Below are 14,526 nucleotides of genomic sequence, written 5' to 3' on the forward strand. Positions count from 1 at the left end.
CCAGCTCAATCCACCCAGCACCTGAAGTCTGACACAAATGTTTCCATATTAGTTTGGGGGGCACCTCTTGGCCTTGTATCTGCCTACTTCAGAATGAATGGGGCTTAGCAAAACCTAAATCAGAATTCATGCTCCCCCAGCCCCTGTCCAGACACCCACTGTCGTGCTGGTGACAGTCACTCTCTCTCTCTCCTCGTTGTTAGGGTGTAAACACCTGGAGGGAGATACACTGTCATCGGAACGTCCCCAACACGAAGCGTGTGGCAGTTGTTCATAAATGGTTCATAAACAGATTCAATTTTGCATTAATTTTCCCATCCTCAAACTAAGTTCTAGGTGATTTAAATCAATTGAGGAAGGATTTACAAAAGCTACCCATTCTGAGACATAGATAAAGTCACAAATACTTTCACACATTACTCAGATACTTTGAAGTACCATTTCTCTCTCCCTCTCCACCACCCCCCGCCCACCCCACCCCGGGCTAAGGTGATCCTCTCACCTTAGCCTCCCGAGTGGCTGGGACCACAGGCGTGTGCCACCACACCCAGCTAATTTCAAAGTGCAGTTTTGTCATCAGATAAAATGCAGGTTAAGTATGAGCACATCATCCCCCAATTTTTTCATCTATAGGCTAACATCCCAATTTATATTAAGGATTCCATTTTCTTTCTCTTTTTTTTTTTTAATATATATGTGGATCAATGTACACTATAATTTTCCTTTAAGCCTTTTCGGATCTGTTTCAGGGAAGCATTCTCCACTCACCATCCAGTTTCATCTGCTCTGGGCAATAATAGTGAATCACAGCTAAGAGAGCAGCACCATCACTGCCGTCTCTCATCAAATCCTCCAACAACGGGAAGTAGGGTGACTGCCTAGCAGAAAGGTGCTCTCGTCGATAGCGGACCTGTAGTTGATAAAAGGAAAACGGTCTCTGCATGTGATGTCTCTTCACTACCATATATGTTACAGGCACACTGTTAGATCGAGAATTAACATAACGCCTAACAGACAACATGGAGAACAATTGCAATAATCTAGAAAGAGTTAGAAACGTCTGGATTACGTACTTTGCCTGGAACATATATGTCAAGATCCAAGGAGCTGGGCTTCATGGCTACACTGGGTAACAGCAACTACTTGCTAGCAATACCAGAGCCAGTCTACTCTAAACTGACCTGGAAGCAGAGGCTGCCACTAGTGCAGGCACACACGGGAAAGGACACAGAACACACACCTACACTACCGAAAGCCGACGTACTAGACACTAACGAGAAACAAGTTAAATGGTGAACATCCTGACGCTCAGAAGACCCAAGTTACTGTTACTTTTCTGAGTAATATCACTAGCCTCAGTCATTAAGAAAAACACAAAACAGCATGAATATTTAGTTTGAGAAATTTCAGAAGCCAGGTTAGACAAAATTTCTCATAACACAACCACCACCACTCTATTAACGGCAATGAAGCATCAGGAGGCGAAATCCATGCAAGGTGCTCCAGAAGACAAGTGTCTGCTCAAGGATTCCATGTTTCTGCATTTACAGAAAGCCACACGTGTGGCCTTCTGCACTCCATCAAACCCTCAGATCTGCCCCTGTATCTGCATGTCAGCGAACAAGAGCACAGACACAGGCCACTGAGGGCAGGACACTCAGCCCCAGCCCCACTGCCAAACAGCCTGCAGTACACTGGTGTTTTCTGCATTAACAGCCACGATACAGCTTTAAAATATGGCATTTCTTGCCAACCACATTTTCTCCACAGGAGGAAAATACACGATACAAACTAGAGGAAGAAAACCAGCAATCTACAATAAAAAATGACTGATTTCTGAGAGTCATGCAGCTGAATCAACTTGAGGAGAAATTGTCTAAAATCAAGAATTTCAGGTTGTTATGTCAATAAGTACATCATGTAGAATAATCAATACTGATGTTTAGCAAAAAACATTTGTAACACATTCTCTTAAATTTAGCAATAAGGCTTATTTTATGTCAATAAAATCTATTTCAGCACACACTTTAACTTGTTTCTCGGGAGCCCACGGCACACACTACAAAACGTGACCCGCCTCATACTGTACCACGCGTGCAAACTCCACGGGTTCCAGCATGCAGTGCACCACAGCATGCGCCAGGCCAGGCTTCCACACAGACAGCAGACACGTGAGGGGGGAACACAGGCATGCGGGAAAGCACATGGTTTCTTGATTAAAGATGGATGGGGTGGGCTTAAGGTCAGGTGAAACACTCCGGAACTACAAGAGTCCAGGAACTTGTATAGCTGCCTTGCAAATCAGGTGCTGTGAACCTCTAGGCTGTACAGTGTTGAGGTTAGACCTCTAAATCTGTCCGTCTTTCCCAGGCCTTTCCACACTTCTCCTCACTGACCTATTTACTGAACACTGGGGTCGGAAAGTTAGGGTTATGAACTATCTAATAAAAAAGCATTAAGGGACCCACCACCCTTGGTAACATGTTTCTGTTTTTATAAAACTCTCATGTGACCTCACTTCCTGCAGGACAGACGAAGTCTGTGAGCCCTTGACTAAATCACGTAAGTGCTTTGATATTTAGCTCTTCAGTCTTCAGGATTCAAAAAGTTAAAAGATCTATATTGATTTAGAATGCTTTCCTCTTTCTTCTTATTAATATATTTCAAGAGAGGCAAAATGATCTGTGAGCTCTGCAGCAGAATCTACCGCTGCTCAAAGGAGCCCTGTATCCCAGCTTACTCCCGCTGCTATCGCCTCGAGGATGGACTTCAAAGGAAAATAGGGGCCCAATAATGACACTGAAGGACACAGGCAGTTAATGGAGTATGCATAAAGCCCTCTGCAAGATCTCCATCCAAAAGTTCCCGAGAAAGGCACCACTGGCACCAAGTACTCTCTCCCCAGGGGCCTGGTAACAAACTGGCTCCGCTTCCAGAATGGGCCACCAGGTGGAGCACAACTAGGGTTGGAAAACCAAATGCTGTTTTCACCTTTCTTTTTATGTGAAAATTCACACTTAACTCCAGAAAGCCTGTGGCCAGGCTGACCTAACTCAGACCCTTGCCTGGGAATAAGGAAACGCCCCTTCCCCACTCCATGCAGGCCGAGGCAGCAGGAATGGCTGCAACACCCGAGGAGGAGAACAGAGGAATCTGACATGCTGGTGAGAGCCCCTCTCTGCAGCCCTCCAGCCCTAGTCCACCAGGTGCATCACCCGCATACCTGGACCACCCAGCTGATGGCTCCTAACAGATGTCACATTACATACCACAGTCAGGCAAGGTAACATCAGAAAGAACAAAATATACAGAGTAACTTGGGCAACTAGACCACTTCTCATTCCCTCTGTATCTATCACAAAAATGCCCTCTCATTACGTGCACGTTGATCACTTAAAGAAGTAACTAGGAAACTGGGCGAAATGTAACTTAAGAGTTCCAAAGTGCCATATTACAAGGCCTATTCGGCTCAGAATCAGGCCAATTCTTGTACTATATAAATAACTCCAAGGTGGGACATTTAAACAACAACAACAAAAAAACAGTTTTGGGTGCGAGCAGTTTTTAATGGAAGCAAGTGATCGCGACAGGATGGCTCTGTAGATGGCAGCTGGCGGCTTGGGGTTCACTTACAGGCACTAACTTCCAATACCACTTGGAGGGAGACTGCTCAGGAAGCGAGAGAAGGAAGGCAGGAGAGGAGCATCAGCAGAGCAGGTCCACGTGTGGACGAGGTAACACACACTTCCCCACGGCGTTTACACGGCAGAGGCGGGAGAGCCTCTGGTAAGCAAAGTCTTCTAAGTGTACGTGGCCATAGTCATGTTGTATTAGCAGATGATTAAAGTGGAAGATCACGAGTCACCTCCACAACACTATTCTTTGCAGTAGCAAAGAAAACTTCGGAAACTTGGTATGGGCTGGGTACCAAAAGGCAAGAAGTCAGCTCTGACGCGGGAAGGGTCTAGTGCTTAGTCTGTACCCATGTGTTAAACATGACCATCTGAGGAACAGGGAGGAAGCTCAATGCTTAAGATCCAGATGAGGGAGGCATACCAGGCGGCCTGACTCACCCACCCACCCAGCTAACAAATGCATGGCCAGGGGCTGGTGCCACTGGAGGGGGAAGAAGGAACAGGGGAAGGCAGCACACTGCCCTTCAAAGGCGAGACCTTATAGATGGTCGGGCTGCATCTTGTGTGCACTGAACTGAGTGAATTCAGTCACACATGTGCTTGCAAAAGAGAAAATAACGTCAGAGGAAGAAAAAGGCTAATGGCTGGAAGGTGCAGCCCAGCCATCGTGCTACTTCAGTAGGCACGTAGGGTTCATCCAGCAGAATCATGGCACAGGCACACAGGTACACCACCAGCTACGCTGTACCTCATGAGCCACTTAAGGACTTTTCGAGGGCATCTTTAGCAACAGGCAATTTCCCCCTTGTTTGTTGACTTGTGGAAGCTAGCACCCAGGTGGGCCCTACGTCCCTCACTCAAGCTTCCCAATTCCCCCAAATACCCTCACGCACCATAAAGTGCAATACAAAACACCCCTTCCCAGGAGAGGCGGGGCAGGCTGCCGTGGTCACATCTCACTGAGGTGTGGAGAATCAGCCCACCAGGTGAATCCAAGAGACTAGCTGCTTCTTTGGTGAGTAAAAATAGAGAATAAGCAAATAGTGGGAACTAACAGAATTCTTTAAAATTGGGACCAACATTAACTTAGTGCATTCCAGAAAAATTAAATTTACCCTTTACCTTTTGATGAGCTGGACTTTCCAATAACTGTTGTTTTAATTTAACTTCTTTCTCTGTTATCTCTCTCATTTTAAGATTTACCTAAAGTAGAAGAGAAATGCATTAAAGAGGTAATTGCTGTCCCGCACAATTGTATCTCCACAATTATCCCCCAGAGACCCCCACTTCACCTGATTCACCTCTGACTCCTAGACATAGGTATTGTTTAGGCCAATTACACAGATACAGAAGTACACGGATTCCACATGATCCACAACAAGGTCCGCCTGCTACCACCAGGAAACCACCTGCCCCCGACCCCCACCCCAATGCCAGCGCAGTGCTCCCCCGTCACTGCGGGGCAGAGTCACTACATCTTGGCAGTGGTCACTCACCACACAAGTACTGTCAAACAGCTAAGCTTCTCCAACACCAACAGCAAATGCCACTTACAAAACAATCTGGTGGAGACACCTCACTAAAGAGCCTAACTTGTGACAGGATGGGTCACACATCCCAGACCATGCAAAAATCATACCAAACCAAATCTAATTATAAAAGTTTAACTATACACCCCTTAAAAATTAATTCAACTTCTTAGAAATTTAAGTATTCTCTCCTGTAATTACTAACTCAATATCAAAATTGCAATCATAAAGTATGGAGAAAAACACTCAGCAGTGCTTAAAGGGGCTAGGTAAAAGCCATGATCAGACAAAAAGACACAGAGCTGAATGCTTCGTCATCAAACAACACAGACAAAGGAGTCCACCATGCACATCAAATCAGGAGTACGAAAAACTGTTTTTAAAAATAAAGACAAAAAAAATATAGATAATGTAAAATTCAATCAATGAGAAAGTAGAAGAAAGGATATTTAAATCCACAACCAAGTTTTGTATGCATGATTAAAAGAGTCCTTTGCAAAGGACGAGTGTGGCAGCTCACACGTATCATCCCAGCCACTTGGAAGGCTGAGGCACGAAGATCACTTGAGTCCAAAAACCGCACGCCAGCCTAGGCAACACAGCAAGACCCCCCTCTTTTTTTTTTTTAAAAAAAAAGTCTGTAAAGCTAATCAAGAAAATGAATGAAAATACCAATACATAACATGAAACAGTCATATTTTTGGAGGAAAGTCGAAGCCACTAAAAAAGCACCACGTAAAAACACATCCTTCTTAAAATGTAAATTAATTTGAAATTTTTAATGAAACTAACATTTTAAAGGAAAATATAAATTACCAAAAAATCAAGAAGACTAAACAGAGTAAATCAAACATTTGCTTGTAACTCTGATCCCTGTGAAAATAATACAGAAAAGATAATTTAAAAGCTGAAAATCCACAGGACAAACAAGGCAAGAGGGGAACCCTGTAAGCAAGGGAAACCTACACAGAGCAGAGCCAGTGCAGCCCCAGTGCTGGAGAAGAGATGCCAGGCAGGGGCCCTGCAAACAACCCCAAGACGCCTCCCATCCTCAGACCAGAGACAAGGCTGCAGACAAGACAACGGTTGAAAGTCAGTGTCTTAAAAAGTTGGAGCAAGAACCCAGTCCCACCTCATCCCACAAAGTAACCCCAGCAGCATAACAGAATGGAGCCATATTTTCACCTGAAAGAAAATTCAGTCAACCTAAAATTTTATATCCAGCCGTATATTTGGAAAATGAAAGCAAAATGTCTTTTTCAGAAAAAAAAACAAAAAAGCTGAGAGAATTCAGTAGAACTGCTTGTAAAAAAAAAAAATGCTAAAAGAAGTTTTTTAGGCTGAAGGAAACGATACAGATGGAAAATATTTTATTAAATCTCTACCTTATAGTACAACTTCTTTTGTATTCCATGACCACATGGTCAGCAGGCACAAAGCACCTCTCCTGTGGTCCAAATGACATCAGTGACCTCGGGACATGCACCTGTGCACCTGACTGAGTTACAAGCTGAGCCATTAACAAACCAGTTATTCACATTTGCAAACATGTTAAGACATCATCTCAAAACCAAAGAAGTGTTTTTTGTTTTTTTTTAAATGAATGTCTGTCACTAAAAGAAAACTACTTTTTTCCAGTAATAAAATTTGAATTTCAGAAAAAATTTAAATTTTGGAAAACTTGTTTCTGCCACCAAAAGCTAGATAACTTCCTAACATGTAAAGGCTTTTCTGATGAGATTGGCAATTTTTTTTTTTTTTTTTTTTTTTTTTGAGATGGTGTCTTGCTCTGTCGCCCAGGCTGAAGTGCGGTGGCATGATCTCGGCTCACTGCAAGCTCCGCCTCCCATGTCTCGCCATTCTCCTGCGTCAGCCTCCTGAATAGTTGGGACTACAGGCGCCCACCACCACGCCTGGCTAATTTTTTGTGTTTTTAGCAGAGACAGGATTTCACCGTGTTAGCCAGGATGATCTCGATATCCTGACCTCGTGATCCACCTGCCTCAGCCTCCCAAAGTGCTGGGATTACAGGTGTGAGCCACCACGCCCAGCCAAGATTGGCAATATCAATGAATGTAAGTTTTGATACTGTGTCATGAAATGTGACAACATTTGGAAGATCTACATAACTCAGTGAAACAATTTTCCGAATGACCAAAGCATGAAGCTGCAAAACCCTGGGTGGGTAAAAGGTCCAGGAAGAATGCAAGAACTAGAAATGGTTACTATATAGTAATAACAGAGTATAAAAACTCACTGATCTAGTACCCAGAATCTATAAAAGAACAATACAACCATAAAAAGACAATCCAATTTTTAAATAGGCAAAGGGTATGAATTCCTCCAAAGAAGATATACAGTCAGGCACGGTGGCTCACACCTGTAATCCCAGCACTTTGGGAGGCTGAAGCAGATGGAGCTCTTGAGCTCAGGAGTTCAAGACCAGCCTGGGCAACATGACGAAACCCTGTCTCTACAAAAAATACAAAAATTAGTCAGGTGTGGTGGCTCACACCTGTAATCCTAGCTACTTGAGAGGCTGAGGCAGGAGAATCACTTGAACCCAGGAGGCAGAGGTTGCAGTGAGCCACGACCGCACCACTGCACTCCCGCTTGGGCAAAAGGGCGAGACTCAGTCTCAAACAAAAAAAAAAAAAAACAGCCAGAAAATAACAAATGTTAGCAAGGATGGGGAAAACTAGAACCCTCAGATGCAGCCAGTGGGAATGCAAAATGGCACAGCTGCTGTGGAAGACAGTCTGGAAGTTCCTCAAAAAGCTAAACACAGAATGAATACATGACCCAGCAATTCCACCCCAGGTACATACCCAAGAAAAATGAAAACATGTATTCACACAGGAAACTTGTGCATGAAATCAGCATTATTCACAATAGTCAAGATGCAGAAACACCACAAATGCCCATCAACTGATAAATGAATAAACAAAACGAGGCGTAAGCACACAGTGGAATATTATTCAGGCATAAAAAGGAATGAAACGCTGACACCCGCTACAACACAGAAGAACCCTGGAAACATGCTCTGTGAAAGATGCCAGGCACGGAAGATCACATACTGTATGATACCATTCATAAAAACTGTCCAGACTGAGCAAACCCATGGATACAGAGTAGACTGCTAGTTGCCAGGGGCTGAGGAGAGAATGACGTCTGGCTGCTAATAGGTTCAGAGTTTTTTTGGAATGATAAAAATGTTCTGGAATTAGCCAGTGATGATGACTATAAAGCTGATATGGTTTGGCTCTGTGTCCCCACCCAAATCTTATCTCAAACTCTAATCCCCATAATTCCCACATGTTGAGGGAGGGACGAGGTGGGAGGTGACTGGATCATGGGAAGGTTTTCTCCATGCTGTTCTTGTGATAGTGAGTGGGCTCTCACAAGATGTGATGGTTTTATAAGGCAGTTTTCCCCACTCTTGCTTGCTCTCTCACGCCTGCCTCCATGTAAGACGTGCCTCTTCCCCTTCCGCCATGATTGTAAGTTTCCCAAGGCCACCCCAGCCATGTGGAACTGAGTCAATTAAACCTCTTTTCTTTATAAATTACCCAGTCTTGGACAGTTCTTTAGGCAGTGTGAAAACAGATTAATACAACACCCTTATGAATATATTAAAAACTACTGACTAGGCCAGGCACAGTGGCTCACACCTGTAATCCCAGCACTTTGGGAGCCCGAGGCAGATGGATCACTTGAAGGCGAGGATATCAAGGCAAGCCTGGCCAACATGGCAAAACCTTATCTCTACAAAAAATAAAAAAATTACCCAGGCACAGTACCACACACCTGTAATCCCAGTTACTTGGGAGGCTAAGGCAGAAGAATCCCTTAAACCCAGGAGGCAGAGGTGGCAGTGAGCCAAGATCACACCATGGCACTCCAGCCTAGGTGACAGAGCCAGAGTCTCTCTCTCCAAAAAATAAAAATAAAAAAATTTAAAAATCCACTGACTAGTACATTTTAACAATAGTGAAGTTTATGGCATGTAAATTATATCTCAATTTCTTAAAAACATTAATTGATGATAGTTTCAAATTCCACATAATTAATCTTTGAGAAACTATTGTTTGTCAAATTTTGGTGTAATAGCAAAAACAGATTTGCATACTTCTCAGAAAAGACTGTGAAAATACTATCCCCTCTTCCAATTATATATCTACATGAAGCCAGATTTTGTTCATGAACTTCAATAACAACAACATATTGTGACAGATTAAATGCAAAAGTAGATAGGAGAATCAGCTATCCTCTAGCAAGCCAGATAGTAAGACACTTGCAAAATTGTAAAATAACTGCCATCTTCCTTATTTATTTCTTTATTTTGAGATGGGGTCTCACCCTGTCACCCAGGCTGAAGTGCAGTGGCATAATCACGGCTCATTGCAGCCTCAATCTCCCAGGCTCAAGCAATCCTCCTGCTTCGGTCTCCCAAGTAGCTGGGACTACAAGTACACACCACCATGCTTGGCTAATTTTTAATAATTTTTGTAGATGGGGTCTCACTATGTTGTCGGGGATGGTCTTGAACTCCCTGGCTCAAGAAATCCTCCCACCTCAGCCTACCAAAGTGCTGAGATTCCAGATGTGAGCCACACACAGCCCCTTCTAATTTGTTTTGAAAAATAGTCATTTTTCACTAAAACATTGTTAGTATTAACATGAAATCAACTTACTGTTATTTTTAAATAAATATTTTTAAACTTTCTGATTTTTAACTTCTAGTATGGCAAACATTGATAGATTAAAATTTTCTTTACAAGTTCAGCAGGACACACTGGCTCACACCTGTAATCCCAGCACATTGGGAGACCAAGGCAGGAAGCTCGCTTGAGGTCAGGTGTTTGAGAACAGCCTGGGCAACACAGCAAGGCCCCAGCTCTATCAAAAAAAAAAAAGGTAAGTTATCTGAGGTCCACAGCAATTTATAAAGAGGTCCTGGCCAGGCGTGGTGGCTCACGCCTGTAATCCCAGCACTTTAGGAGGCCGAGGTGGGCAGATCACCTGAGGTCGGGAATTCGAGACCAGCCTAAGCAACATGGAGAAACCCCATCTCTACTAAAAATATAAAATTAGCCGGGCATAGTGGCAGGCGCCTGTAATCCCAGATACTCGGGAGGCTGGCAGGAGAATCACCTGAACCCAGGAGAGGGAGGCTGCAGTGAACCGAGATCACGCCATTGCACTCCAACCTGGGTAACAAGAGCGAAACTCCCATCTCAAAAAAAAAACGGAAGAGATCCTGAGACCAAACTGTGTGAAACTCTTGATGTATGCAAAGGAATTAAGAACAACAAAAATGGAAATTATGTGGATAAATATTAATGACTTTTGTTCTCAATTTTTAAATACTTTAAAAGATAAAAGAAAGCCAAAACAGCACAGCTGGGGTAGAATGAATGACAACACAAAGGTCAGCGAGGAAAAGATGCATCTTCTGCTATTTGTGCAATGGCATCACTTTGACTTGCAGGCAGCCTGTGACGGTCTAAAGATGCACACAGGAACCCTAAAGCAACCCCGACAAAATACAGGAGGATAAAAGGGAGTACTTAAAAAAAAATCCAAAATAACCCTTAAAAGAGGGAAGAAAAAGAAAAGAGATAAACAGAAACAGACCAGATGGTAAAACCAAGCCTTATGGATAATCACATTAAATGCAATTGGTTTAAACACTCTAAGAGATTGTCAGATGAATAAAAAAGCAAGAGCAACTACACAGCATCTGCAAAAAATTCACTTTAAAGAGAAAGACAACAAGAGGTTAAAAGTTAAAGGAATGAAACATACACCGTGCAGCCACTATTCACAAGCACTCTTGAATCCACATCCACATTAAATGAAGTAGACTTCTGGGACAAGGATTACCACCAGTGATGAAAAGCAACATCTCATAATGACAAAAGGGTTAATTCATCAACTAATATCGAAAACTTGAATATGTGTAAACGTAACAGACTTTGAAAATACACAAAGTAAAAACTGACAGAACCAAATGGCGGGTTACAAGTGCACAGCTCAGGACCTTCCACCCTCCTCTCAGATTAACCTAGTAATAGGACTAAAGACAGGAAAACGGTAAAGGAGACACAAACACCACCAACAACCAATCTGAACTGACACTGAAGACACTCTACCTTCAAACAGCAGAATATTCTTTTCAAATGCATATTAAACATTCTGCAAGGTAAGGCATGTCACGGACCCTAAGTCCCAATAAACTTAAAAGGATGAAAATCACAGAGTATGTTCCCTGACAACAGAATTAAACCAGAAACCACAACACAAAAAGCTATCTAGAACCTCTCTTTAAGTATCTGAAAATTAAACATCTGACTTCTAGATAACCCAGTGAGAAAACAAGAATCCACAGGGGAAACAAAATATTTTAAAGAGAATGATGAAAGACATGGCCTATAAAAATATATAATGCACGGCTGAAGTGCCGCTTAGAGAGGAATCGACAGCTTTAAATACCTGCCTTCAAAATGAAAAAAGACTTCAATAACTAACTCCCCCCTTAAAAAACTAGACAAGGAGAACAAATTAAACCCAAAATACAAAATAATAATAAAGGTAAAAGGAAATTAAGTATTAAATAGAGAAAATAAAAACTAAAAGATTTTTTAGAAGATTAATGAAGTTGATAAATCGGACTAATCAAGGTAAAGAAAAATGAAAGAAATTGCCAACCTCAGGAAACAAACAGGACACTGTCACTACAGATCGCAGGTATATTAAAAGGAAAATAAAGAAATATAAACCTTATGCCAATAAATTCAACTACTTAAATAAAACTGACAAATCCCTTGAAAGTCACAAATTACCAAAGCTAGCACAATGCTAAATAGAAAATCTATTATCATATGTATATTAAAGAAATTAAATTCATAATTAAAATCGTCTAAGAAAACTCCACTCCCAGATTGCTTTACCAGTGAATTTAATATTTAATTTCCTTTTACCTTAATACTTCCCAACTCACTTTTTTAGCCCAACATTACCCCAACACCAAAACAAGAGAAATACATCATGAGAAAAAAAACTAGAGACCAGTATCTGCCGAGAGCATTGACACAAAAATCATCAACAATATATTAGCAAATCGAATCCGTCAATATATAAAATAAATAATAAACACAACCAATTTGTGTTTGTCCTGGGGATGAAAGGGCTGGTTCAACATCTGAAAATCAATTACTGTAATTCATTGTATCAACAGACTAAAAATGAAAAGTCATATAATCATCTCAATAAATACAGAAAAGGCATCTGACAAAATTCAATATGTATTCATGAAAAAAATACCCTAAGCAAACTTAAAATAGAAGGGAACTCCTGGCCAGGCGTCGGAGGCCAAGGCAGGCGGATCCTTTGAGCTCAGGAGTTCAAGATCAGCCTGGGCAACGTGGCAAAATCCCCTCTACAAAAATTTTTTTTTAATTAGCCAGGCGTGGTGCTGTGTGCTGTAGTCCCAGCTATTCAGCAGGCTGAGGCAGAAGGATTGCTTGAGCCCAGGAGAATGAGGCTACAATGAGCTATGATCGTACCACCTGTACTCCAGCCTGGGACACAGGGTGAGACCCTGTCTCAAAAAAGGGGGGGGGGGGCCACAGGGGCCGGGAACTCCTAATAAAGGGCATCTATGAAAAAAAAATTACAACCAACATTCATCATTTCAATGGTTAATACAGTAAATGTTTATTCCCTAAGATGAAATACAAGCAAAAATGTCTTCTTTCACCAATTCTATTCAATATTCTATCTGAGGTACTAAACAGTACAGTAAGGCAAAAAAAAAACCTTTATAATTAAAAAAGAGCATACATATTAAATAGTAATACAAATGACTTTATACACAGACAACATGATCTTGTATGTAGAAAATCTTAAGGAATTTTCTCAATGCCACTAGAATAAATAAGTTTAGCAAGGTCACAAAATATAAAGTTAATATACAAATTATTAATTACGTTTCTACGGACTAGTAACAAACAACTGGAAAATGAAATTAGGAGAACACCATTTATAATAGAATCCAAAACACAAAAGATACAGAATAAAGTTAAACTATATACAAAATGTTACCCTGAAAAACCATAAAACATGGCTGAGAGAAGCTGTGAAGCTGTTAGGTCTACACAGAACGGAGAGAGATAAGCATGTCTGTGGGCTGGAATATGCAATACTAATAACACATCAATTCTCCCGAAATTCATCTAGCTTCAATGCATTCCCAATCAAAATCCCAGCAAGTATTCTTATAGAAGCTGACAAGCTGACTCTAAAATTAAGGGTAGGCATGCAAAGGACCTAGAATAGTGAAAACAATTTTTTTTTTTTTTTGACACGGAGTTTTACTCTTGTCGCCCAGGCTGGAGTGCAGTGGCATGATCTCAGCTCACTGCAACCTCTGCTTCCCAGGTTCAAGCAATTCTCCTGTCTCAGCCTCCCAAGCAGCTGGGATTACAGGCATGTGCCACCATGCCTGGCTAGTTTTTTGTATTTTAAGTAGAGATGAGGTTTCACCATGTTAGGCAGGCTGGTCTCGAACTCCTGACCTCAAGTGACCCACCCGCCTCAGCCTCCCAAAGTGCTGAGATTACAGGCATGAGCCACCACGCCCAGCCAAAAACAATTATTTTTTAACACAAAGGATATGGCTGGAAGACTTAACATTGTCCAATTTCAAGTATTCCTATAAACCAGACACAAAGATCGGTGGAACCGAATAGAATCCAGAAACAGACTCACATATATGTGGTTTACTGATTGTCAACAAAGATGTCAAAGTAATTCAATAAGGAAAGGAAAATCTCTTCCATAAATGGTTTCAGAACTGCTATCTATATGAAGAAAAAAATGAACCTCAACCCTTCCCTCATATCATTCATAAAAATGAACTCAAAGTGGGTCACAGAGGCAAATGTAAGAGCTAAAACAAAAAAACGTCTAGAAGAAAACATAGGAGAAACTCCTCACAACCTTGGAGTAAGTAAAGATGTCTTCTATAAGACACAAAAGGACAAACCATAAAAGGAAATACTGATAAATTGGGCTACAAAGAAAACTTTAAAAGCCTTTGCTTGTTTTTTGAAACAGTCTTGCTCTGTCACCCAGACTAGAGTGCAGTGGCATGATCTCAGCTCACTGCAACCTCCACCTCCCTGGTTCAAGTGATTCTCCTGCCTCAGCCTCCTGAGTAGCTGGGATTACAGGCGCCCGCCATCACGCCTAATTTTTGTATTTTCAGTAGAGACACGGTTTCACCACTTTTGGCCAAGCTGGTCTTGAACTCCTGACCTCAGGCAATCTGCCCACCTCGGCCTCCCAAAGTGCTGTGA

General features: G+C 41.9%; 1 protein-coding gene across 9 annotated transcripts in view; it reads right to left on the reverse strand.

Moving 5' to 3' along the window:
• Positions 1 to 14,526, reverse strand: part of CAMSAP1 (calmodulin regulated spectrin associated protein 1) — a 99,060-nt gene that overhangs the window by 53,212 nt on the left and 31,322 nt on the right. For 5 of the 9 annotated variants that reach the window (XM_011518273.3, XM_011518272.2, NM_001437279.1 and 2 more), the window contains 3 exons: positions 4,758 to 4,838; positions 3,634 to 3,666; positions 769 to 910 (listed from right to left, as the gene is read on the reverse strand). In XM_011518273.3, coding sequence (XP_011516575.1) covers positions 769 to 910; positions 3,634 to 3,666; positions 4,758 to 4,826 — 244 coding nt within the window. In that variant the 5' untranslated portion in view covers positions 4,827 to 4,838. The remainder of the gene's footprint in view (positions 1 to 768; positions 911 to 3,633; positions 3,667 to 4,757; positions 4,839 to 14,526) is intronic. The other 4 variants (NM_001437281.1, NM_001437280.1, NM_015447.4 and 1 more) reach the window with 2 other exon arrangements.

This window comes from Homo sapiens, chromosome 9 (genome assembly GCF_000001405.40).
Source record: "Homo sapiens chromosome 9, GRCh38.p14 Primary Assembly".
Taxonomy (NCBI): Eukaryota; Metazoa; Chordata; class Mammalia; order Primates; family Hominidae; genus Homo; species Homo sapiens.